Genomic DNA, 26,659 nt, shown 5'->3' with positions numbered 1-26,659 from the left:
TGATTCAGTAACAAACTATTCGGATCTTGGTGATGTGTTGTTGTTCTTGCGTTTGGTCAGCAAGCCTTTAACTGGACCCTAGCAGTGATTTGTGCCCTTAGGCAATTATAGGTTTCAGAGGAATGACTGGTTAGGAGTTCAAATGAAATTAACTCTGCCTTTCTCTTAGACGCAAGATTTATTAGACATGGCACTTCTAATCAGCTTGTTAGTCCAGTGGTGTTTATTACTCCATTTTTCAAAAGCTATTCATTTCTTTTCTGCTTCTCCCACCCACCTGTCAGGCTATTGATGACAGCTGTTGAGTCACCTTGAGTTTTAAATCCTTTTGTGGTAGGCAGAAATGTGTTGGGTAAGATTCATACACACCCATACATGCACACATGCATACTCACTCGTTCCCTCTTGGGAGGCTAGAGAAATTGCTGGATGTACTTTCTAACTTAGGCTCCATTTCATAATCTCTTGAACATGTCTCTGGCCCACACACCTCCTTTCTGCCCCCTGCTCCCTGAAATACAACTACAAAACAACTAGAAATAGGAATGGATGGAAGTGAATGAGAACGATGAAGTCCTTCAGATGCATGTGGTTCTGCAAAAGCCTTTTCTTGGGTGGGCTGCACCTTAGTTTTGCAGCTGTGTGTATGTCTGTGGCTGTTTCTTGGTATTAGTCAGTATTGGTATCCAGCCCAGGCAATGCTGATCTCCCTGTATGCTGGCCGTGGATAGGAGTTAGGGGTTGGCAGCCTGTGTCGTTTGCTGGATGTAGATGACAGGTACATAGTTGGACAGAAGTTTTTGAATTGCTTCTTCAGAACTCAGTCAACCCTCATAATGTTGCCAATATTTACGTACTAATTTAGACAATATAGCAAAGTTTTATATGAGGGGAGAAATTTATGGTAAATGAGTTTTTCTGCTGGAAGAGACCTAAATAATCCAGCCCCTAGATTCTGGAGTAGCCAGCATAGTGCCTGACGTAAGTATCTGTTGAATGCAGGGATTGGGGTGGGTAGCATTGAGGTGTAAATTGAATAGATTTTCATGATAATAGTGGTGGGCGGAGACAGTAGCAGACTGGAGAGTGCATGCCCTGCCTAAAGACATTTGCATTCAGAAATTTAAAAAATACTGGGCCAGACATAACCCTCAGGTTACTTTACCTCTGAGGGTGCAACCTCTTCTCCTCAAAAGTAAGAAAGTGTGTTTGGTCAAAGTCACAAAGCTGTTAGTAGCAGAACTGCAACTAAAACTCAGAGATCTTCTTGTCTGCGGGCTGGTACTCTTTCCATTCTACCACATAGGTGATTTACTGTTAGATTAAAAAAAAAAAAAGGAATATAAAGTTTCAGTTTTCAGTGGATTCATTTGATATCCCTTGCTGTGTTGTTATTCTGATAATTATAGGCTACCTCAAAGCCCAGGTTTAAAATTTATAGGCAGGGTTGAGCCGTTAAAGACAAACTTGAAATTTTTCTTTCCCCTAATCTGTCATATTTTCTAGCATTCCACATTTCCAGGAATTAATTATTAATTACTCGGCATGTAATTTCTTCTCTTTCTGTCCTTCTAGTGTACTGGTTCTGCCTGTCTGGAGGGCCATGGAGAAGAGGCTGGGAGTCAAGCCAAATCCTGCTTCCTGGATTTTATCAGGATATTATTGGCAGACATCTGCGAAGTGGTTGAGAAGCCTGTACCTGTTTTATACTTGCTTTTGCTTCAGCGTTCTGTGGTTGTCAACAGGTACTATTTTCTTTATAGATTTAAGATTTTTTTTTTTAGAAAAGGGCATTTTATGTGAGTCCCTCAGTTCATTTTAAGGACTATTAGGAGGCAGAAAAAACAATCTGCTAATTGACAGAAATGGTCATCCTTTTGGTGACTGAGGTCTGTTGGGTTTATTTATTTGTTTTGTTTTGGAACCAGAGTTTAAATTGGATTCTTTTTCATAAGGGAGAATTGGCACAACCGTTTTAAGACTTGATAAAAGTCAACTGGGTATTTCCACTTAATGACTATAAAACCTTGAGCAAATTACCTATTATCTTTGAGGAAGGGTTATTATCTACCTCATGGTTTGATTTGAGGGATAGTATAATTAAAGCATGTAGCACAGCACTCAGCATGGGTGCTTAGTCTTGCTATTTGCCCAGGCTGGTCTTGAGCTTCCTTTCCTTTCCTAAAGGAATCTACACTTATGGGAAAAATGCGTTCCTTACTTTTTCCATAGAGAGGGGCTATGTTGATAGATTTTTTAGACTATGCTTTCCTCCTAGAGATTATTTCACCAGGGTAAAGCCTCTTGCCAGGAATCAGTGCCAAGAAGGCTAAATTTCAAAGGAGAATGCCCTTTCTTTCTTTCTTTCTTTCTTTCTTTCTTTCAAGTTCTTTTGTTGATATTGTGCTTTCATAGTATGAGTGTGAGAAAACAGCAATATGAGAAAGATTTCTGTGTATGCTGCCATTCTGGCCAGTGACCAAAAACCTTCTGCTGTAGAGACCACCATCTGGGATAACTAATCAGCCTTTTTCCCTTATAATTACAAAGATTTCTGTTGCTTTCCTAAAGGAATTGGTGGTCATGATTTTGAGACCCTAGTAATTATTGTATTTAGCAATTTCAGTAACATCAGCTTTGGGGTTTTTGTTGTCTTGCAGTGATGGTTGATGATTGCATAATTATAGCAGTGGAAGTTGTACTTGACAGAAAGCTGATCTACATGGTTTTTTTTTTTTTTTACCCCAGATGATGCTTTGCTGGGACAGCTGACTATTTCAGGTCAACATTTTATATAAGATCATTAGAATTAAATAAGTAATTGATTTAGCACCATCAGAATAGGGAAAAATCACTTCTTTAAAAAAAAGAGATGGGGTCTTGTCACCCAGGCTGGAGTGCGATGGTGCCATCATAGCTGCCTGCAGCCTCAAACTCCTGGGCTCAAGCTGTCCTCTTGCTTCAGCCTCCAGGCATGAGCTAGTATGCCTGGCTAATTTTTTTTTTTTTTAAGACAGTGTCACTCCATCATCTAGGCTGGAGTGCAGTGGCACAATCTCGGCTCACTGCAAACTCTGCCTCCCAGGTTCAAGCGATTGTCCTGCCGCAGCCTCCTGAGTAGCTGGAATTACAGGCGCACACCACCACACCCGGCTAATTTTTATATTTTATCCTTTTTATATTTTAGTAGAGGTAGAGTTTTGCCATGTTGGCCACACTGGTCTCAAACTCCTGACCTCAAGTGATCTGCATGCCTCGGCCTCCCAAAGTGCTGAGATTACAGATGTGAGCAACTACACCCGTCTGCCTGGCTAATTTGTACATTTTTTTAGGAGATGGGGTCTTGCTGTTTTGCCCAGGTTGGTCTCGAACTCCTGGCTTCAGTCGATCCTCCAACTTTGGCCTACTGAATAGCTGGGATTGCAGACACCAACCACCATGCCTGGTGTAAATCACATTTTTTGAAGCACACCTACCACATACCAGACTCCTAATTGTAAACATTACATACCTTATCTCATTTAATCTTCATGATAACCCAAAAATAGATAGTTTTCTTCTCATTTTATAGATAAGGAAATTGAGGCCTAGAGAGGCAGAATGACTTGGCCAAGGTCACACAGCAAGAACATGGTGGAGGTAGGATTCTAAATCCAGGTTTGTCCACTGTAGAGCTCATACTCTTTCTCTTCTGGTACTCTGCCTTCCAACCATAGGGGATGTTTTGGAGGACCAAAGGTTTTTTTTTTGAAACGGAGTCTCACTCTGTCACCAGGCTGGAGTGCAGTGGCGCAGTGCGATCTCTGCTCACTGCAACCTCCGTCTCCCAGGTTCAAGTGATTCTCCTGCGTCAGCCTCCCGAATAGGTGGGACTACAGGCGCATGCCACCACACCCAGCTAATTTTTGTATCTTTAGTAGAGACCAGGTTTCTCCATGTTGGCAGGATGGTCTCCATCTCTTGACCTCGTTATCTGCCCATCTTGGCCTCCCAAAGTGCTGGGATTACAGGCGTGAGCCACCATGCCTGGTGGCAATTTTTTTTTTTTTTTTACCCAGTACCATGGTAAGCAGCTTCCTATTTGAGGGATTCAAAGTATAGAGGATGAAGAAGCAATTCCAAGTCTTTCTGTGCTTTCCAATCTAGCACTTGGTTAAACACAGCATTGTAGGCTCATTGTGCAAGTCTTTAGTAACCTTGAGCTTGGTGCTTAAAAACAGCACCCTAATTAAGTATAGAAGTGCAAAGGTGGTGGTGTTAGGTGTAGTTCTGGTGGGGATTAGGTTATGCCAGTTCTATTTTAGAAAAATTTGGAGCTTTTATCATGGAAATTAAAAGATCAAGAGCCATGTATGTTCAAATTGAGGGAACATGCAAGCAACATGTGACAGACATATTTGTTATATACTTTGATTTAATTGGAGCTCCTTCCCATTTTTTTTTTAAAAGGAATATCCTAATAGAAAAAATAAATAGGGCTGGGCGCGGTGGCTCATGCCTGTAATCCCAGCACCTTGGGAGGCCGAGGCGGGTGGATCACCTGAGGTTAGGAGTTCAAGACCACCCTGACCAACATAGTGAAACGCCGTCTCTACTAAAAATACAAAAAATTAGCCGGGCGTGATGGCATGCACATGTAATCCCACCTACTCAGGAGGCTGAGGCAGGAGAATCGCTTGAACCCGGGAGGCGGGGGTTGCAGTGAATCAAGACCGCACCACAGCATTCCAGCCTGGCCAACAGAGCGAGACTCCATCTGAAAGGAAAAAAGAACAAATAAATAAAAGGCATAAACAGAGTGCCATAAATAAGAAGTTAAAATGAATATATTTAAAATGTTCGTTCTCATTACCAATCAAAACGACAGATTAAAATGAGATATCCTTTTAAATCTATCATATTGATGAAAATTAAAGTAAAACTATCCAGTGCTGCCAAGGGGTGATGTGGTTGTCCTCATATAGTGCTGAGGAGTTTGAAAAGAGAACTTCTTGGCATAAATATCAAGAGCCCTAAAAAAATTCATATTTTTCGACTTAATTCTTCATTTAAGAATTTATCTGAAGGATACACTTAGATAGTTGTGAATGAGAGCACTGATCAACAGTCATTTATTCTGTGCTGCAAAATATTGCTGAAACCTGCTTAATTATAGGAGAGTGGTGAAATCTTTGCATCTCCACATGGTGGGATACTATCCAGTCTTAAAATTCATATTTTAAAAGAAAAGCTGGGTGTGGTGGCACACGTCTCTAGTCCCAGCTACTCGGGGGCTAAGATGGGAGGATTGCTTGAGCCTAGGGGTTTGAGACCAGCCGGCAACATAGTGAGGCCCTGTCTCTTTAGAATTAAAAAATGTTTAATAATTTAAAAAAAAAGTACACGGGAAAATGCTCCTAATATTAAATGATAAAATCAAGTTATGCAACTACATATTCAATATGCTGTCAATTTTGTGAAAAGAAGAAAAAATTATGTAATAGAAAACAGTCTGAAACAAGATGTACAACTAAATATTTATGTATTTTTTTGACTAGAGGAATTATTATCTCTTCATATTTTTCTGTGTTTTCCAGGCCTTTCTTTGGTATACTTGTATTCCTTTTTATATAAGGGGGAAAACAACCTACTTGAAAAAGCAACAACAAAATAATAACAGCAAAAACCTATTGGTGGGAGCCTGAGTCAGTATTTCTCTACTCATGAGTTTACTCAGTGTTTACCTGAGTGTTTACATTTTTTTCCGATAAAATACATTCTTGATTCCTGCTGTTATTTAGCTCATGGATTATTTCTGAAAAACTAACCAAATTAAGGCAGCTCTGCAGTTATCCTCCACTCCCGCTTACCACTTAGGAGTTTGCTCCATCTTTGGTAGAGCCCCAGGCAGCTGTTGACTTAGACATGGTGAGCTTTTTTATTTCCACTTTTGGGTTCAGTACTGAAGCCCTACTGTTAGAAAGCATTGATTACAATTTGATAAAAGATGGTCTGTCTGTGTTTTCCTTGTGTGCCATGGAATGGCTATTTTTCTGTTTAATTTTATTGTTAAGTGGCTTGAAAAATAGTGTTTTGGACCTGGGGATTCTCATCTGGAGACAAATAGGAAGTGATCCCAGGAGTTTTGGAAATTCCTACAATAGATTGTCAGCTTCTTGAGAGCAGACATGTTGCCTCTTTTAGTTATGCTAGATATTCTTAGCGGGTACCAAGGCACATAGTAGATGCATAAAATATTTGTTGACTGAATAAATTAATAAATTACCAATAAGGGAATTGTTCTTTGAGAATTAAGCTTTAAAAACAACAAAATCAGAGCAGAGATATGGAAAGGCACTTTAAGGAGACCAATGCTTTTGAGACCAACAAGATTGACTAAAATCTTAACAAATATATTAACACATACAAAGAAAGAATGTATACATCTGAAGAGTTATGTGTGCATGTTTGTGGGGGATGCAAGGACCTAATTGGCCCTAGAAATCTGAAACAGGGAGAATCACTGAAGCCAATGTCCTTAGGCCCAGAGCTAACAGTTGGCTATGAAAACTTGTACTGACATTTCCCTACCTCTGGGAAGGAGATTATACAGTTAGTTAATACGTATTTTGAGTACAGAGATAAATTATTCAATTCAGAACCATTTTTTGAGAACTTACTAGGAGTCTGCTTCTAGACTAGGCACCAGGATAATAAAGATTAGTACAATACAATCCTTTCTCTGGAATAACTACCAGTAGCAAGTGAAAAGGTAGAGGCCAGGTGCATTGGCTTATCCTAGCACTTTGAGAGGCTGAGGCAGGAGGATCACCCGAGGCCAGGAGTTCAAGACCAGCCTGGACAACATAGTGAAACCTCATCTCTACAAAAATAAAAAAAATTAGCTGGTGGTGGTGGGCACCTGTAGTCCTAGCTACTCGAAAGGCTGAGATGAGAGGATCACCTGAGCCCGGGAGTTCAAGACTGCAGTGAACTGTGATCATGTCGCTGTACTCCAGTGTGGGTGACAGAGGGAGACCCTGTCTCTTAAAAAAAAAAAAAAAAGATGCAACGCACAGAGTGCTACTGGAACCGTAGGAGAAGCATTTAGCTTGGAGGCAAAGAGGGTGCTCTAAGGAGTTCTTTCTAGAGAAGCATCTTCTAGAGAAGCTGATGCCTGAACAGAGTTGTGAAGGTTGAATTTGAAGGATTCAAAGGGTATTCCCATGCAATGGGAATGCAAGAGCAAAGGCACAAAAGTGAAACAGCCTGGTATATAGAAGAAACTCCACAAGCAGTTTAGCACTACTGGAATATAAAGAGCAAAGCTGGTATGGCAGCTCCAGAAGAGGTAGGTGGTGGCTAGGTCACAAAGGATCTTGTATGCTATGCTAAGAAGCTTCAATTTTAAACTTTTTAGGTAGATGGTCTATAAATTTTTTTCATGATGCACTTTAATCCATTGAAAAATTGAGAATGTACCCCTGTATATAAATTTATACATTATAACACGTAATTTTATACTAATGTCTTATATATGTGTAAGAGATGCCAAAAACAAAATGTTAAAGGGATTGACAGAAGCAAATATGAAGAGTTCTAATATTTTCTTTTCATGCCCGAGGGATTTGTCTTGTGCACCTCTTAAGGCAAACACTATAATACTTTAATGCTAGTATTAAATATAAAACTATTAATACTGTATTAAATATACTATAATACTGGTAAATTTCTGAATAATTTTTGCAGGAGTATAGAAAAGTGGTAATTGTGGAGATGGAGATGGATGGAAAAGGGAGGGAGGTCAGGGTTAGAGGTTAGGGTATCCATTAGCATGTTAATGAAATAGTCCAGGAGAAAGTTGATGAGACTCTGTCTTCAAGGAACCTCTCAGTAATTTCATTCAATACAAACAAGTAGAGGTAGTCCTAAAGAGATGGGTAGAATTTAGATGTTCTGTAGTAGAGAGATTAGAGGAAGTTTTTTTTTTTTTTCGAGACAGAGTCACACTCTGTTGCCCAGGCTGGACTGCAGTGGTACGATCTCAGCTCACTGCAACCTCAGCCTCCAGGGTTCAAGCAATTCTCCTACCCCAGCCTCCCGAGTAGCTGGGACTACAGGGGTGCACCACCACACCTGGCTAATTTTTGTATTTTTAGTAGAGATGGGGTTTTGCCATGTTGCCAGTCTGGTGTCAAACTCCTGGCCTTGAGCATTCTACCCACCTTGGCCTCCCAGAGTGCTGGGATTACAGGCGTGAGCCACTGCACCTGGCCAAGAAGTTTTTTAAAATTGAGATATACCACTATCTAATTCCAGAACTTTTTTCTCACCCCTAGAAGAAGCCCTGTACCCATTAGCAGTCACTCCCTATCCTCTCCTCCCCCAGCTACTAGAAACCACAAATCTGCTTTCTGACTCTATGGATTTGCCTATTCTGGACATTTCATAAATGGAATCGTACAATACGTGGCCTTTTGTGTCTGGCTTATTTCATTTAGCATAATATTTCCAAGGTTCATCCATATCCTAGCAGGTATCAGTACTTCATTTCTTTTTATGGCTGAATAATATTCTGCTTTATGGATATGCCACTTTTGTTTATCCATTCATCAGTTGATGGACATTGGGTTGTTTCTACTTTTTGGCTATTATGAACAATGTTGCTCTTAACATTTATGTATACATTTTTGTGTGAACATATGTTTTTAATTTTCTTGGATATCTGTATATATAAATACATGTATTTACATATAAATAGTACAATTGCTGGATCATGTGTATATATATATATAATGTATATATGTAATTCCACTCCACTATATGTATATATCCAATTGCACTATAGTAAAATATATATGCAATTTATATATAAATATATATGAAATAAATTTATATATAAATGGAATTGCTGGATTATATATAATCACGTATAATATGTATAATTATATGTAATTATATATGTATATATTACATATATAAATAGTGGAATTGCTGGATCATATATATAATATATGTAATAATATATATGATCCAGCAATTCCACTATTTGTATATAAACATGTAATAATATATATATGATCCAGCAATTCCATTATTTATATATGTATATAAATTTATATATAAAATTTCACTTTTATATATATATTTATATATAGGAGTGGAATTGCTGGATGTTATGGTAACTCTTGGTTTAACTTTTTTGAGAAACTGTTTTCTATAGCAGCTGCACCATTTTACATTTCCACCAGTAAAGTATGGGGGTTCCAGTTTCTCTACATCCTTGCCAACACTTGTTATTATTCATCTTTTCTATTATAGTAGAGAAGGTTGTTGAAGGTTAGAAAAATCAAGGAAAGCTTCATGGAGGAAATGGAACTTGGCTTGGGCCTAATACGTATTCAGTTTATAGATGGACAAACTGACACAGTTGGAGACAAGGACTAGAGAAACAACTGGATGGGTATAGATTTCTTCATTCTTTTGTTCATTTTTAAAATTACTTACTCAGTCAATAAATATTTATTGAGGCAGGCACTGTTCTTCGTGAAAGATTGCTGTCCAGTTCCCTGACTTGATCTTTGCAGTCAGTGAAGCTTTCTGAAAGAGTAGACCACATTTGCTATTTCCATTCTCCCACCTTCATCCTCTTCTGAGTTCAGTAAGGTCTGGCTTCTGCCCAAACCTTGGCTTTTGCCAGGGTAACTACTGACCTTCCTAGTTGGACGCCTTTATTTCTTACCTTACTTAACATCTCTACTGCATTTGACACCTTTGATTACCTTCTTGAGACCGTTTCCTCACTTGCCTTAAGTTACACCATGCTTTGTTTTGTCCTCCTCTTAGCCAATGCACAGCACTTTCTTATTATTTTTCCCCCACTCCCTTCTCTCCCTTACATCTTTTGTTTGTCAGGGTTCTGTTTCACCCTTTTTTGTCCCACTTGTGGTCTCCCTGGGCAGTCTCATTCATTCCTCACTTGTAACCTGTGTGCTCACTACTTCCAAATTTATAGCTATTCCTGAGCTCCAGACCACTTAGCCATCTGTACGCTGCACATCTCCAGCCAAGATGTCTCATGGCTACCTCTAACTTAGTATCGCAAAACTGAACCTGTGATCTTTTACCCCCTTTCTTTTCCTTTATTCCCTATAACCATGAAAAGACCACCTCTAGCCATATTCTGAGGTTGAAATCCCTGAGTCATTTTTCTTTTTTTTCAAGGCACAGTCTTGCTCTGTCGCCCAGGCTGGAGTACAGTGGCACAATCTTGGCTCACTGCAACCTCTGCCTCTCAGGTTCAAGCGATTCTCCTGCCTCAGCCTCCTGAGTAGCTGGGATTACAGGCACCTGCCACCACGCCCGGCTAATTTTTGTATTTTTACTACAGACAGGGTTTCACCATGTTGGCCAGGCTGGTCTCAAACACCTGCCTCACCCTCCCAAAGTGCTGGGGTTACAGGTGTGAGCCACCGCACCTGGCTGCCTAAGTCATTCTCTATTCTTTTCTGTCCTTCACATGCATGTCACAGTTCATCTCACATTTCTGTGTAGAGGGCTCCATTTCTCTGCATATGGCATTACCATTCTGCCTGATGTATTCCAATTCAGATAAACATAAGCTCCTTTCTCGTGCTTTCCCTGAGACCCCTGGTGTGGACTTCTCTAATGTTCTCATAATATCTATGCATCTCTCTATGATTATACCATGTTATACTCTGTGTGGCCTTAGGCTTTGTGAGGAGAGGTTCAGAGTAGGTTTTGCTCTAGAGTGTGGTCCTTACTCCTAAGGTGAGGCCTTTCTGGTGTCTCTGCTGGTGTATGGCATTAATGTGATTGCTTCACTCTTCACTCTGGCAGAGGGCCAGAGTTCCAGCATGCTCCTCTTGCCCCCCTAGAGGGCACTGCTTGACCTCTAGTGAGTCTCCCTCTCAGCCCTGTAGCATCTACCATCTAGTTAATAAACATCATGTGGTCTTGCCGCATGCCTTTGTAGTCTAGCCACGGACTGGCAGGGGACCCTCCCACTGGACTTCTGGGGCCCCCTTTCTTCACAGCTCCTTCCTCTCAAATTCTTACCCCTCACCTTCTAGCCAAACTCACATCTCCGCTTCCTGGGCTCAGTGAGACCCATGTGTTCTGTTTGGGTTCCGGCTTCCTATGTCATGGTTGGGAAATTGTCCCTTAACATACAGCTGGGCAGTTATGGGGCTCACTTCAGGTTTCCCTTCTCAGGATTGCAACCTTGCCCTGCCTGTTATCTCCTGACTAAAAACAGTTGGATTGTATCTTCTGTCCAGTTTTGTAGTTGTTTACGGCAGGACGGTGAGTCTGATATCAGCTACTCCATTATGGCTTCGAGCAGAAGTCTACTTTAATTAGTTGTTTATGTATCTGTCTACTCCATGAAACTATTTTACTCATAGTTACATCTCTAGCATCTAGCACTATACCTGCTGTAGTAGGTGGCAATAAAGGTTTGTTGGATTAAAGATAATGTACCTTGGAATATACATGTTAGGGAACATCATTCTTTCCTGCTCTGTTTTTCAGCCTCAGCCTGTTAAGTGGGCACTTCACTCCCCAAGAGGGAACAAGTTTTGGGGAGTAATTTTTGCTATATCCTCTGCCTTTCCTCCGACTCACTCCATGAGTGGCAGAGTGATTTTTCTGATTGATGAGATTAGAAAAGAATCCTATTGTATGGAGTGGCCAGTCTTGAGGATTTTTTTTTTTTTTTTTTTTTTGAGATTGAGTCTCAGTCTGTCACCTAGGCTGGAGTGCAGTGGCACAATCTTGGCTCACTGTAACTTCCACCTTCCGGGTTCAAGCGATTCTCCTGCCTCAGCCTCCCGAGTAGCTGGGACTATAGGTGCATGCTGCCATGCTCGCCTAATTTTTTGTATTTTTAGTAGAGATGGGGTTTCACTGTGTTGCCCAGGCTGGTCTCGAACTCCTGAGCGCAGGCAATCTGCCCGCCTTGGCCCCCCAAAGTGCTAGGATTACAAGCACGAGCCACCATGCCCGGCCCAGTCTTCAGGATTTTTATGTTTTGTCCCACTTCCATGCTCTAGCCGGTCTGCCCATGCCAGGTCAGCCTGCATTTTGTCCAGTTAGGTAAGTTGAATTCAGTATAGGAAAGTATAAGAAAGGCCATTTGTGATTACACATCTCAGCCATGTTCTCCAGTCATCCTTATCACTTACTATAAAGATAATATTTTGATCTTCATCTGCACCTAACTGCCATGCTTTGTATTTTAATTATTCCCAAACTCTGGGTGGGAGAGATTAATTATCACCCTCAACCTCTACAGAGACTGCAGATGGGACAAAATCACCTCCTGCCTTAGCAAGAGGTCTCTTTACCACTAGTTGCCTTTTTTTGTTGTTGTTGTTCTCATACCTGCCTGTATTCCTGAACCCAAGTAAGTGTCCCTGGCAGGAAAAAGGTACCTGTAGGCCTTGCCCTCACTTGCCTCGTTTGCCCTTACTTTGAGGGCTGTAGCCTCTGTTGTACCAGTCAGAGCCAGTGGTGTCTTTTTCCTTTAAGAGAATGGTATATTTTGAATATGCATTGGTCTTAATCTTCAGGGGAAAAGCATTTTCAGGAGACTTTTTAGGTGGCATTATATCTCTGCTCTTCATGTATCTGTTGGGCACCCAAATTGAGGCAGATGACTAATGGAATATATCTTACAGCAATGAGTCTTCAACAGGAACTTTCTCCTGCCAAATTGTCCTATATTCTTAACTACATTGCAGTACAGGAAGGTAATAAATTATTAATCCTAAATCAGTCTCCTCAGACTGTAGGATAATGACTTGAGTACATGTCACTTGGGGGAAGGTAGAGTTTTCTGGCTGTTAACACAAACCATGCAAGGTTTTTGATTCTAAAATTCAGCTAGCATTGAGCAAGTCTATGGTGTCTTGTTATATCACGATTTAATTGACATAAGTAAGGCCAATCAGAATTTGCTAAAGTTGGTCTCTCTCTCAGTGAAATTAAATCACTGTGTCTTGCTTAAACACTTTAGTGAAAGATAATCATCTTAAATCCTACTATCTTGGAAAACCATAATTTTGGTGGGTTCTTTTTGCCCTTTAGAAGACCTGTGCAAATATAAACTTACTTCCCCATTTGTGTGACAAAATGAAGAGGGATGAGAAAATTAGCATAATTGGGCAGTAAATCCAACTCAATTTAAAAACTATCTTAAATTTATTCTCCTCAGGAATTCCTTAAGGGAGGAAATAATAAAACAGCAGAGGAGTTTATAAAAACAAACAACAATTGCAGGGCCGAAGCATAGCCTTTTGGCTTATTTTGGAGATTTTATTAAAATCTCAGTAATTGGAACAGCTTCTAATTCAAGGCATTGTGTGAAACTGGCAGGAACATAGTCAAGAACTATGTGTGTGGTTAGTGTTTGGACACTTTTTTATTTTTTTAAAGCCTCAGCTCTTCCCTGTGCACACCTATTTTCAGATGAACAGTAGTGAAGGGTTTGGGTCAGAATGGATAGCTCTTGATTTGAGGACCTACCTTTTGAACTTTCTTTCTGATCCTTCTTCCAACAGCTTTCCTAAGAAAAGCCCATATGGTTAAGGTCCTGTAGCCACTTTTGACTCCAGATAGTACTGGATAAGTTCCAGAGAGAGGTTGTAAGAATTGGTCTTGACTACCTGCCTTTTCATCAGCTGAGCAAGAGATAGGAGACAGAGTGGCGAAGGGCGTGGAGCATGGACTTGGGTGTCAGACAAGTCTCAGTCATGGTTTTATAATGTACTGGGTGCTGTTACTGAAACATACTTTCCATCAGGTTCTTCATCTATAAAATGGAAATGACAGTACCTCTTAACAGGATTGTGAGTATTAAATAAAATATTCATGCAAAGGGCTTAGCCTACTCCCAGGTACATAAATAAAACTCAGCAATTGTTAGCAATAACGTAAAAGTTTAATATGGTTAAATTCTTGTCTAACCGCCAGATGACCCAGCAGGCAGGAGGGTTGAGTTCTCTGCTAGCTTCTTAAACCTCTGTCCAGTGGGAGCTTTGTCTGCACATTATTAAGTATGAGGTAGGCAGCTGGGCCTTCTGTATTATTGGGGAAAGTAGGCCTCCATTCATATAGCTTTACAGGTCTGAGACTAATTGAAGCCCATGACAGAATGAATTGTATTGTGCATTTTCCGTGATTGTAATATGCCACTGAGGAGCATGATGGGCCACTTGTTTCTTCCCCCAGCTAAGGAAACATTTCCTCTGGAAGAGGACTCTGTTCTGCTGCCACGACTCCACCTTGCTCTCTGCCCTAGTTCACTTCCCCCAAAACTGATATGTGCCCATGCTTGGCAAGGCCTTGTGGTAGGCCAGGTTGGCTCTGTCTTTGGTCAGGACAGTGTTTTGACTGGGGCTGATTCAACAACACTTTTGGGTTTTGGGTTAGAAGTAGTTTGTAGGCTGGGCGCGGTGGCTCACACCTATAATCCCAGCACTTTGGGAGGCTGCGGTGGGTGGATCACCTGAGGTCAGGAATTCAAGACCAGCCTGGCCAACATGGTGAAACCCCGTCTCTACTAAAAATACAAAAATTAGCCAGGTGTGGTGGTGCATGTCTGTTATCCCAGCTACTCAGGAGGCTGAGGCAGAAGAATCACTTGAACCCAGGAGGGAGAGGTTGCGGTGAGCTGAGATTGCACCATTGCACTCCAGCCTGCGTGACAGAGTTAGATTCCATCTCAAAAAAAAAAAAAAAAAAGGAAAAAAAAAAAAAAGAAGTAGCTTGCAGAGTTTGTCCTGTGCTTCCTTCCTTCAAAACATATTTATCAGGTGCCTGCTATCCTAGGCATTAGAAATGCAGTGGTAAGACCAGGCGCAGTGGCTCATGCTTGTAATCCCAGCAGTTTGGGAGGCCGAGGCAGGTGGATCGTTTGAGGCCAGAAGTTTGAGACCAGTCTGGACAACATAGTGAGACCCTGTAACAAAAAAATAATAAAAAGTTAGCTGTGCTTGATAGTGTGCATCTGTGGTCCCAGCTACTTGAGAGACTGAGGTAAGAGGATCGCTCGAGCCCAGGAAGTCGAGGCTTCAGTGAGCCATGATCACGCTGTTGCACTCCAGCCCGGGCCACAGAGTGAGACTGTCTCAAGAAAAAAAAAAGGGAAAATTAATACATTGGTGAGCAAGACAGATACGGTTTCTGCCCTCATGAAGCTTGCAGTCTGTTAATACCTTTGCCATTCTTAGGGAACAGAAATTCCCTTTGAGAGGGATGGCATTGCTGACATCAAGATTCCCTTCAAGGAGTTTGAGGCTTCCCTAGGGTCCCAAGGTAATGCCATGACAATAGAGACCTAGTCTTCTTTGCAGAATCCTGGGAATGTAGGAGACTAGACAATTTGATGTCTCAAGCTGGTCTTAATAGAATAACCTTCTGCCAAGAATTATGTAAGTGAAGTTCCTGTCCACAAGATGGTATATCTCCAGTTTTCCTTTCTATCCAGTGCTCTGTCTCTCTCACCTTTAATAATCCACATTTCCTGAATAAGCAGTTAGAGTGGTTATTTGGAAATGTGGAAAGAGTGCTATAGCTGCAGCCTTTGCCCCCAAGTTGGAAGTGTGTTCCTGTGGTGATTTCATGGGCGTTAGATACACCCAGCCCATCAGCACTTGAAAGTCTTCTGCATTAGGGTGCTCCTGCCCTTTTGGCATCAGGTTTGTTACTCAGGATCTTAGGTGAACCATTCCAATGCTTAGCATGAAGCAAGCACCAATTATATAAATCTTGAACTTCCCTGGCCAATCACAAAAGGAAACTATAAAATGCCCTAAGAAGAGAAAGAATTATGAATGTCCCTGAATGGTGAGTTAGCCATCACAGACGCTGTCCAAAGGGAAACAGAAGCAGGGAGGAATGCCAGCCAAGGCCTATCTGGAACTCTACCCACTGCAGACTCTGCCCTAAAGATGGGTGCCCAGTGCATCTCACTTCAGTTCCCCTTTTTAAACTCCCTCAGCAGATGACAGGATTTTTAGGAATGCTCTCTTTCTTCCAACTGGCTTAACATTATGTTTTGATTCTAATCCAGCAGCACATTTGAGTTTGAAATAAATGTATGCTTATGAATTCTTTCACTTTTAGGTAATAAGGGGAATGACTAATATTACCAGACCTGGGAGATGGAGTGGGGGGTAACATTGATTCAGTTTCACTTCTGTAGCCTTAATTTCAGATTCAAGTTCACCATTTCAAGAGGACTGCCATCCTGCCTGTTAAGAAATGGCTCCTCTGTTTTTTGTTTGTTTGTTTTTGATACAGCTCAATGTTTATTGTCCTTAACTGAGGGCAACCAGAGTCAGCTGGAGGCTTATGGAAGTGGGGTGGCTACAGTGAATGAATCTTAATCAGAATAAATGAAGCAGCCTTGTAGAGAAAAGCTGAAGAGCCAGCTTCCATCTCAGAAAGTTGAGTAATCTGCATCCTGCTGGGTCAGTCTGTGGCATCTGGCCTGAAGCAAGCAGCCCCATATGCTGAAGCAGTGCCAAGCTGTCTTCTACCTGTGCATTCTACTTCATCAGTTTCTAACTGCTTGGTTTTCAAAATTGCTCTCAGCTGTGCTCCCCAGGGTATGCTTATAAGCTGCACTCTGACATTTCTCACAATGGACTTTTCAAATAACAGCGAGTTTTCCTATTACGCCTTCTGTGAAAAGTTAAAGGGAGGAGTTGGCCCCTGACCTGAGGTCTGCAGACCTGGAACAGGGTTATTTGCTCAGGATGTTCAAGGCAGAAACAAAAGTTTTCTGGCCTATCCCTGGAGACTTTCTCTGACAAGCATACCCTCCTTTCCGTTCCCAAGCTGTTTTGATTGAGCTGTTTCGCCTCCACTCTTTTGTATTTCATGTGGGGGTTGCTACCTTGGCAGCATGGCTGCCTCTGTCAGTGGAGAGGAAGTGGTGGAGAGTAAAGGCCGTATGTGTACGATATGTTTCCAGGGCTTTGCTGTGTCCCTGTGGGTAGTGTGTGTGTGTCAAAGAAAGAGAGAGACACTGAAGAACATTTGGGTGTTCTTATTTCCCTGCCTAGAATTAATACCATTTTTTGAAGCAGCAGAGAAATGTTGCCATTATACAGATGAGGATAAGGAAACGCCAGTTTCCGTGCAGTTAGAGATAGTCTATACTAGATAATTTGGCAGTCAGGAGTGTTGACCAATTTGCCCATATTTTCATTTCTGTCAGTAGAATGTGACTTACAATTAACTTGAAAATGGAGGTATAAGAAAAAAACACAAGTAAAAACACGTCAGAAAAATGAAGTCTATTAAAAGCCACATGATTGCCATAAATAAACCAAACAATATGAAATTACCCGAATGTCAGTGCCACATTATGGTGTTGACTTAGATTACATTCTCCTAATATTTGTGGTCTCTGGCTCTTTATATGTGTTATCTCACATTCAGTCAGTGCCTTAAAATAAGCTAACTGCATTTTTTTTTTTTTTTTTTTTTTTTTTGAGACAGAGTTTCACTCTGTTGCCCAGGCTGGAGTGCAGTGGCATGATCTCAGCTCACTGCAGTCTCCACCTCCCAGCTGCAAGCAATTCTCCTGCCTCAGCCTCCCGAGTAGCTGGGACTATAGGTACGTGCCACCATGCCTGGCTGATTTTTGTATTTATAGTAGAGATGGGGTTTCACTGTATTGGCCAGGGTGGTTTTGAATTCCTAACCTCAGGCAATCCGCCAGCCTCGGCCTCCCAAAGTGCTGGAATTATAGGCGTGAGCCACTGTGCCTGGCCTAACTGCATTTTTGTACCTTCTCTAGGATGCTTAATTCACATTATTAATGATAATTAATATCTAGGTATTTTATATATATACTATAGATACACGCATTTTAGGTCAACAAATAATATATCAGGCTAAATAAAACCAAGTTCCTGCCATTAGAGAGGTCACACTATGGAGGCAGAGAGAGATGTAGAAACATAAAGAAGCATGATCAATTCCGAGATGTGCTATGGGAACACAAAGAATGGGGCAGAGAATAGCTGAACCCTGTTTTATAGCAGGCTGGTAAGACATGGGATGTTCTAATCCCTTTGAACCTCCTCCTCCCAGATTCATTTGAAGTGGCTTTTAACCCACAGAGCTCTTTTCACTTTTTTTATCTTAGAGGGAGGGATAGAGGGAAGAGTTTGTACAGCTCTGTAAGTCTAGAGAATAAGAGCCCTAAGAAATTATTTCTGTACAGATACAGATTGGCTTTGATTTAATTTAAATAAACTGGCTCTCAAAAATTCTAAGAATACTAACTACTCACACAGTTTTGCTTTCATTTACACACAGATGAGAAAGCATCTGTAGCTCTGCATTTTATTTGCTATAAGCAAAAAGTGGTTCGAGATATTTAAGTATCTGAAGCTTGGTTGTATTGAGTCCTCACATGTCCCAGTTCAGCCCACTGCAGTTTTTTTTTTTTTTTTTTTTTTAATGGCGCTTACATAATGCTCCAAAAAGAGAGAGTTTCAATGGGTAAATTGATATAAACTTTTCCTCTATTGGCCATATCTGCTGAAATAACACTTCATGGCTAGCTATATTATTTCCTTACTTCCTCCCAAGCCTACAATTCTGTTTAATTTACATATTTCTGCTGCGGCCCTCTAAATGACCTTCTCTTTAAAAACAACAAAACAAGCCAGAAAAAAAAAAAAAAAAAGGAAAGGAAAGGAAAAACCTTCCCAAAAAACAAAATAGTGCTCTGATTCAGGGTTCTTTGTGTGGGTTTCCAAGGGAGGTTGGTATGATTGTGCTGAATGCAAATAATTTATCAGCCGGTAATAACTGCAATGAGAAATGGCAATCAACTGCAGATTCTTAACAATACCATCTACAAGTGGGCTACACAGGGAATTGGTAGATTCACGACATCATATCTAGGTGCTTTTCTTTTTAGAAAAACAATTCTTTCTTTTTAGAACCACTTTTATGTATAGGCAAAAGTTTATCTGTTATAATTTAATACCTGTGCTTTTTGAAGTACAAAGACAGTATTACATAGAGAGGTGTGGGCTCCTTCAAGCTGTGGCTTGGAGGCGTGCTCTCCTTGCTGACAGCATTCTCCAGAGTCTTTTAGTCATAAGGTGGTGGGAGAAAAAGCGAAGCAGGAGATTCTGAGTACATCATATGCAGCAGTGTAACCCCCTAGTTACAGTTGTTTTTTTTTTTTTAAGTGCATAGCTTAATCATTTGCCTTCAATCTGCCTTTAAATATTATAAAGCCCTTGATGACTGGATTGTTTCTGAACAGGTGACTTTATGGTAGGAGAGCTATTTTCAGCTACACCAGTGATTTGATTAATACTTGGCTGTGAAAAATGCCTTTGGGCTAAACCTTGGCAGATGGGTCTTTTGAAATGGAATAGCACCTGTATCCAATTAATGCAAACTTTTGATTTATTAAGTTGTTTTAGGTAGAAGTTAAAGGCATTAGAATTGTGATAGAGTGGTTTCCCTGTTTTCACCTAGGTGACCAGAACTTTGAGGTATCTTTTTCTGTTTTTCCTTTTTCATCATTACTCAGGACAAGGGAAGGTGAATGGATCTAGATGTCATCAGTGATGCATGGCTCTTTGCCTAGGTGAACTGGGAAGCTATTCTCCACTGTTGCTTTGTTCAGAAATTTTCATGGTGAAGGCTTATGTCACCTTTGAGTGAAGTCGAATGGTCTGAAATAGGTAGCTCAGGGAGCTGAAATTTGGTTGGTCCTTTCATGAGGAAAGATTTCTTTGGGATTTGAAAGGATTTTCTAGTTTAGAGTTTAGACAGGAAAGGCTGTTTCCCAGCTGGTTATATTATTCAGTTATCTCTTTTTTATCCACTCTGCTTTTCTTCAGTTTCTTTCTTTGCACATCTCTCATATTTCCTATTCAGTGCACTCCCCAATTTAATTGGAAAAGCTCATTCTAATTTGTTAGTGAACCAGGAACTTTACTTTTCTCTCTTGCCTCTTCCTTCTTTCAGCCAAGGAAATTAATTAACATTAAGGATCTGATTCAAATGACTATAACTCAAGATATTCCATATTGGAGCTGACATCTTTTGCTTGATTTTGTTAGTATAGAAAAAATCCCACAAATTTATTTAAATATTGGGTGAACTTTTAAAATTAACAAGAAAGCTCCTTGAATGTCTACTATGTGCTAAGCATCTTTCTGGGCCTACACATACAATATACAACCCCAGCACTTAAAGAGGGCAGAGTGTGTGAGGTAGACAAACAAATATGATCTGGTGAGAGAAATGCTATGATAGAGGTATATGTAGGATGCACAGAAGAGAGGCATCTTGGGGTGAAGGTTTCATGGGAGAAGCCTTCCTGGAAAAAGTGGTGGCCGAGCTAAAATGAAGTATAACAACAACAACATAAATAATGGCAACTAATATATACTGAGCTTTTTAATACTATATGCCAGGCTCATGTTAAGTACTTTGCATATATTTTCTCCTTTATATCTTTAATAACTCTGTAGGGTAGGTACTGTTAAAATTATTCCTGTTTTACACATGAAAAAACTAAGGAATTTGACCCAAGATGACACAGTTAGGAAGTGACTGGGTTGAGATTCAAATGCAGGAATCTCAGCTTTAGGAACTAAAGCTTTAACCACAGATTTTTGGGGTGGGGGCCAAAAGATAGAAGAGAGCAATTGTGGAATAGGGCTGTTGATCTTGATAGGGGATTTTGTTTGAAAACAAATTTCAACTCAATGTTATGAGGGACATGTATGAACATTACCTTGGGGAATGAATTTATTTTCTCACCTAGACTAAATGAGGGTGGTTTTCATATTTTCTTTAGCCTGTGAAGTATAAGTATTCTGTTTCAAGTAGGTAGAGTAAAAGGACTTTCCCCTACTCTTCTGCCTATAAATATTGCCCTCTTCTAGGGAGATGTTCTGGTACTGGGTACTGTTATTCTTTTTTTTTTTTTTTTTTTTTTTTTTTTAAGACGGAGTCTTGCTGTGTCTTCCAGGCTAGAGTGCAGTGGTGTGATCTTGGCTCACTGCAACCTCCATCTCCTGGGTTCAAGCGATTCTCCTGTCTCAGCCTCCTAAGTAGCTGGGATTACAGGCATGCGCCACCACAGCTGGCTGATTTTTTGACTGCCATGTTGGTCAGGCTGGTCTCGAACTCCTGACCTTGTGATTGTTTTTCTTTCTTTTTTTTTTTTTTTTTTTTTTTTTGAGACGGAGTCTCGCTCTGTCACCCAGGCTGGAGTGTAGTGGCCCGATCTCGTCTCACTGCAAGCTCTGCCTCCCAGGTTCACACCATTCTCCTGCCTCAGCCTCCTGAGTAGCTGGGATTACAGGTGCCTGCCACCACGCCCGGCTAATTTTTTGTATTTTTAGTAGAGATGGGGTTTCACTGTGTTAGCCAGGAAGTTCTCGATTTCCTGACCTCGTGATCCACCTGCCTCGGCCTTCCAAAGTGCTGGGATTACAGGCATGAGCCACTGCGCCCGGCCACCGATTGTTATTCTTTTCAACAGTTTGTCACAATCCAGTATCTTTGAGGCTTTTTAGTGACAGTGTTATAGGAAAGGACTTGCTGTTGTAAGCATTCTTAACCAGCAAAGTACTGCAAGATTCAGGTTTTGTGATTGAGTCCTTGGAAGCTTGTTTTCCATCTAGCAGATAATCAAGAGTTAGTGTGAATAGTAGCTGATATGTATCTGTTGGGCAAGTAGTTCCATGAGGAGTTTGTTTTTGTTCAGAATGATCTTTAGGAAAAATGGAAATACCACGGTGAAGGGAAAGAAGTCAGAATATGTACACAAAGCCTATTAATTCTTGTGTAGCAGTTAGTGTAGTTTCAGCAAATCATCTACACCATACATTTAAAAAACTGTACTCTTAGCAAAGCTAGGCACATAGCAAAGGCAGTGAGTAGTAATTATTTTCAAAGGACTGCTTTGTGAGGCAGCTGCCACCTTTCAATCCAACCTGTGTGTAGTTGAGGAAAAAAATGTTACCCCTTTTGAAAAGGAGGAGAGAGGGCAATGGTTATTACCTTGGCTTTTTTCAAACTTCGTAATACCTGATTGTGTCCTTCAAAGGATTTAGTTACCTCCTCTGCCTTGTTTCTGAATGTGCTAACCCCTGCAGGGTAGAACTGATGTGGAGAGTAAGGTGGAACCATTTTTTTTGTATTTGTTTATTAGTGGGTGTGCAGGTGACAGACATGCTGACAGTCAAAAGGGAGGTGGAGGGTGCCCCCTGAGGAGGTTTGTTTTTGAACGGTTCCTGTGAGTTGTTTTTGGGATTGATAATGTGCCTGCTTATCTCATTTTCATGTGGCAGCCATCTTGGCTGAGACCCATTGCTTCTGAGAGAATGCATACTTTTGATGATAGCTGTAGGAAGACAGATGGTGTAGAGCCATAGTTCAATTACTGAATAAAGAGACAAATTTAAGGCTGTGCCTTTCTCCTTGATAATAGTTCATTTATAGGTATAATTATCAAGGGAAAGCTTTGAATGAAGTCTTGACCATATTAGAAAATTGTGAGATTTCAAGAAAAGAATTTTAGCTTCAATGACGGTAAATATTAATTGCAAATTTTTTCTACAGAATACTCTAACCATGTATTTGTTTCTGCAGCGAAAACCCCACCGAAGAGAAGAATTTATCAACTGCTTTTTTTTTCTTTTTTGAAATAATACTGGTAGCTCATTCTCTCTACTCTTATTTCCACCATCACAGCCTTTCCTTTGGGATACAGTCTGATGAATTTAGTTAGAATTTACATTTCTGGACACTAACAGTATGACTCCTGAAACAGGGGACGTTCTGTCTCTGCTCCCTACTTGGTTGCTAACCAGGGCAGTTTTCAAGTTTGCTTGAGAAGCCAAGCTTATTACCTGAGATTTAAGAATGCCAGAGCCAACAGCACTGTCTTTAAATATTTCCAGAGTTGTTCACAGCTTTCTAAAAGTATTTAATGAATTTCCTTCTGGCAATAATTCATATATCCTGTAGACTTTTCCACTCTGCTACTTGGAATTATGAAACCTGGTCTAGATTTTGTGCCAGATATATTAGAATTCTGTCTTTTGAGAGGTGGTGATGTAAGTAAGCATTGCTAGTTCCAGAGCCTCCTGTTTTGGGGATCCTCCAGGTAATACATATGGGAGCACTGCTTTCTCTGCTTTGCTATGATTTTAGAAAGAGGGGAATTGGCTTTGCTCCACTGTTCTCACCCTGGGTAAGCTTTCTACATGCTCCTACCAACAGTGCATTCCAGACTTTCCCAAAAGATTTTCAGTCTAAGGTTCTACCAACTGTAAGCCATTTTTTGTAAAGATTTAATATTGCTTTTGCCTGGGCCCTGGGAGCAGAGCCAGGGTATGGCAGCGTGGGCAGGGAGAGGAACTGATCTAAAATTGGAGTATATTTTCATCTTACCTTTTATCCCAGTTACTTCTAGAATCCAATATTGACTCTACCAATGCCTTTCTGCTTCCTCCTTTTATGAACTCTTTGTCCCAAGAGTATCAACACTGAAAATTTAATCTTAAGTTAAATTATTCTTCAAAGGTTAACTATCTGGTAAATGATGGACCTAGAGCTGAAACTAGAATCATTTAAGATGTTAACTGTCTTTTAACCACCTAAGACAAAGAACTATGATTCAGGGAATGGATGAAAAAGAACTGTTTTTTTCTTTTCGTATTTTTATTATTGAACACATGATGTAACAACATTAAATAACATTTAATTTTTAAAAACTCAGTCAAAATCCCACGAATTAAACATGTGAACTGAGAGATCAGAGTACCTCTTCCTCTTTTTTTTTTTTTTTGAGACGGAGTCTCACTCTGTCGCCCAGGCTGGAGTGTAGTGGCACAATCTTGATGACTGCAACCTCTGCCTCCTGTGTTCAATGATTCTCCTGCCTCAGCTACTTGGTGCCTACCACCACGCCCGGCTAATTTTTGTATTTTTTTAGAGTTGGGGTTTCACCATGTTGGCCAGGCTGGTCTCGAACTCCTGACCTCAAGTGATCCGCCTGCCTTGGCCTCCCAAAGTGCTGGGATTATAGGTCTGAGCAACCGCGCCAGGCCTACCTCTTCCTCTTATTGGAAACCATTGAGATTAGTTTTATTAGCAACACTATAGCCCGCTAACCTCCCCTGGGCCTCACATTTCTTTTATAGAAGCTAGCTTTTTCCTAGGCCTCACATTTTTTACTTGTAGTCATTGTCGAAGATATAAGGGCCCGAGTCTTTCAAGATGACCGACTAGAGGTATAGAATTCAGTAGAGAAGTGACAGAAAACACATGAGGCACTGAGGGAGAGGGAAGCGAGGTGGATAACCCAGGCAAGATTGGCTGGGAGCCAGAGGGGCTTCCCAACGTGGAGACAGAATAAGTGAGCAATCCCCAACAGTCCACGTTCTCACCACCTCCTGTAATCCTAGCCACGAGAGAGTGCTTTGACCCTTGTGGGCCCTGATACTGGCAGAGGGAGATCCCTGGAGCCTGTGTGATGGCATTGCTCCAGAAAGGGAATGCACACTGAGTCCCACGCATCCCCCAGGTCCCTAGTGGGACACAGGACCATTTTGAGAGTCCAGCTCTCACCAAACTGTATCCTGCCCTGGGGCCCAATAGCCCCTGCCTCTCTACATCCCTGGAGCCCCCCTGACATTCCCTCGTATCTGCCTAGAGGGCTCTAGCAGCAAGACACTGGTTGGGCCCAGAGGAACCACAGGGTCCACACAATGTCCTGTATACCAGGGAAAGGGCAGTGTAGTGTATCAGGGAGGCTGCTCCCAGGACAAAGGGTGCCAAAGTGCAAGCTCCCCAGAGTATGAAATCTGCCTGCCTGGGGCCACTGTCACTAGCAGCAACCCCATACCCTTCAGCAGCAGGCTGCCATGTACTTTCATGTGCCATGAGGACAGGATCTCCTTGCCAGCTGCTACAGCCACTGCTGCTGCCAGAAGCTGAAGCTTATGCTCCCCAGAGCCTGAAACCTACCTGCCTGGGGTGACTATTACAGACAGCAGCCCTGCCTCCCTCTTGTCTCCCACAAGTAGGGCTGCTGCACACTTTCACGCACCCTGAGGACAGCCTTTCCCTGCGCACTGCTGCTGCTGTTGCCATGCCAATCAAGTATGCTGCCCACTAACAACTGTAGCCTAAGCCACTGAGAAAATCACAGATGCCACTGATGGTGTTCGTTGCTGGATGGTGTTCGTTGCCGAAGAAATCGTATGGAGACTACACTGCCGCATGCATCCAGAATCAAAGCCAAAGTGCCCTACCCAACCAACACTGTAGATACATCTGTAAGAAAAAATCTTTCCCTGTGAAAGCCAATACAAAAAATTGGAAGTGACTGTTACACTTGATATACAGTTATCAACAAAAGGACTCAAGAAACATGAAAAGGCAAGGAAATATGGTATCTCCAAAAGAACACAATAATTCTCCAATAACAGACTTCAGTGAAAAATTTATGATCTGCCTGAAAATTCAAAATCATGATACTAAAGAGGCTTAGTGATATGCATGGGAACACAGATAAACAACACAAAGAAATCAGAAAAACAATTTAGGATATGAATGAGAAATTCACCAAAGAGATAGCATAAAAAAGAACCAAACAAAAATCCTAGAACTGAAGAACTTAGTGAATGAAATAAAAAAGGCAATTGAGAGCTTTAGCGATAAACTAGATGATAAAGCAGAAGAAAGAATTTCAGAACTCGGGCTGGGTGCAGTGGTTCATGGCTGTAATTCCAGCATTTTGGGAGGCTGAAACAAGCAGATCGCTTGAGTCCAGGAGTTAGATGGGCAACATAGTGAAGCCCTGACTTTACAAAAAAAAAAAAAAGGCCGGGCATGGTGGTGCATGCCTGTAGTCGCAGCTACGCAGGAGGCTGAAGTGGGAGGATTGCTTGAACCTGTGAGGCTGAGGGTGCAGTGAATTGTGATCGTGCCACTGCACTCCAGCCTGAGTGACAATGAGACCCTGTCTCCAAAAAAAATAATTTCAGAACTTGAAGACAGGTCTTTAAAAATAACCCAGTTAGATTAAAAAAAAAAAAAAAGGCATTGTGACATATAGGATACCATAAAGTGACCAAAAATCTGAGTCTTGGGTATCCCAGAAGGTGAAGAGAAGTTTAATGGCATAGAAAACTGATTAAACAAAATAATAGCTTTAAACTTCCCAAATTTAAGAAGAGATTTAGACATACAGATACAGGAAGCTCAGAGATTCCCAAACAGATACAACCCACAAAGATCTCCTTGGCACATGATAGTCAAACTGTCAGAAGTAAAGACAAAAAGAATTCTAAACACAGCAAGAGAAAAGCATCTGTTCACATCTAAAGGAATCCTGATCAGACTAACAGCAGATTTCTCAGCAGAAACCTTGCAAGCCAGGAGAGAATGAGATGATATATTCAAAGTGCTGAAGGGAAAAAACAAACCTGCCAGTTAAGGATACTGTACCTAGTGAAGTTATCTTTCATAAATAAAGGAGAAATGAAGACTTTCCCAGACAGGGAAAAACAGATAATTCATAACCACTAAACCAGTCCTACAATAAAAGATTAAGGGAGTCCTACATTCGGAAGTGAAAGGATAATAT

The 26,659-nt window shown here is 41.1% G+C and overlaps 1 protein-coding gene across 18 annotated transcripts in view, besides 7 other annotated features; it reads left to right on the top strand.

Annotated features, from left to right (window-relative positions):
* KIAA0319L (KIAA0319 like) overlaps positions 1–26,659 on the top strand; it is a 124,170-nt gene that overhangs the window by 1,567 nt on the left and 95,944 nt on the right. For 17 of the 18 annotated variants that reach the window (XM_006710909.3, XM_017002369.3, XM_047430826.1 and 14 more), the window contains exon 2: positions 1,576–1,745. In XM_006710909.3, the coding sequence (XP_006710972.1) occupies positions 1,604–1,745 (142 nt within the window). In that variant the 5' untranslated portion in view covers positions 1,576–1,603. Of the gene's footprint in view, positions 1–1,575; positions 1,746–26,659 lie in introns of those variants that run through there. The other variant, XM_047430845.1, reaches the window with a different exon arrangement.
* Positions 63–1,018: an enhancer, noted in NCBI's record as "H3K27ac hESC enhancer chr1:36020678-36021633 (GRCh37/hg19 assembly coordinates)". NCBI's record gives its function as "activates a minimal SCP1, AML or CMV promoter by ChIP-STARR-seq in primed H9 embryonic stem cells {active_cell/tissue: H9 hESC(primed)}" and the evidence as "EXISTENCE:reporter gene assay evidence [ECO:0000049][PMID:30033119]".
* Positions 1,019–1,975: an enhancer, noted in NCBI's record as "H3K27ac hESC enhancer chr1:36019721-36020677 (GRCh37/hg19 assembly coordinates)". NCBI's record gives its function as "activates a minimal SCP1, AML or CMV promoter by ChIP-STARR-seq in primed H9 embryonic stem cells {active_cell/tissue: H9 hESC(primed)}" and the evidence as "EXISTENCE:reporter gene assay evidence [ECO:0000049][PMID:30033119]".
* Positions 10,928–10,977: a silencer, noted in NCBI's record as "silent region_640". NCBI's record gives its function as "represses an Ori minimal core promoter by ATAC-STARR-seq in GM12878 lymphoblastoid cells {active_cell/tissue: GM12878}" and the evidence as "EXISTENCE:reporter gene assay evidence [ECO:0000049][PMID:35858748]".
* Positions 15,957–16,046: an enhancer, noted in NCBI's record as "active region_731". NCBI's record gives its function as "activates an Ori minimal core promoter by ATAC-STARR-seq in GM12878 lymphoblastoid cells {active_cell/tissue: GM12878}" and the evidence as "EXISTENCE:reporter gene assay evidence [ECO:0000049][PMID:35858748]".
* Positions 16,097–16,146: an enhancer, noted in NCBI's record as "active region_730". NCBI's record gives its function as "activates an Ori minimal core promoter by ATAC-STARR-seq in GM12878 lymphoblastoid cells {active_cell/tissue: GM12878}" and the evidence as "EXISTENCE:reporter gene assay evidence [ECO:0000049][PMID:35858748]".
* Positions 24,198–24,697: an enhancer, noted in NCBI's record as "H3K27ac hESC enhancer chr1:35996999-35997498 (GRCh37/hg19 assembly coordinates)". NCBI's record gives its function as "activates a minimal SCP1, AML or CMV promoter by ChIP-STARR-seq in naive H9 embryonic stem cells {active_cell/tissue: H9 hESC(naive)}" and the evidence as "EXISTENCE:reporter gene assay evidence [ECO:0000049][PMID:30033119]".
* Positions 24,698–25,199: an enhancer, noted in NCBI's record as "H3K27ac hESC enhancer chr1:35996497-35996998 (GRCh37/hg19 assembly coordinates)". NCBI's record gives its function as "activates a minimal SCP1, AML or CMV promoter by ChIP-STARR-seq in naive H9 embryonic stem cells {active_cell/tissue: H9 hESC(naive)}" and the evidence as "EXISTENCE:reporter gene assay evidence [ECO:0000049][PMID:30033119]".

This window comes from Homo sapiens, chromosome 1 (assembly GCF_000001405.40).
Source record: "Homo sapiens chromosome 1, GRCh38.p14 Primary Assembly".
Classification (NCBI taxonomy): Eukaryota; Metazoa; Chordata; class Mammalia; order Primates; family Hominidae; genus Homo; species Homo sapiens.
Note: the sequence above shows the minus strand (reverse complement) of the source record. Positions and strands in the feature narration are given on the sequence as shown.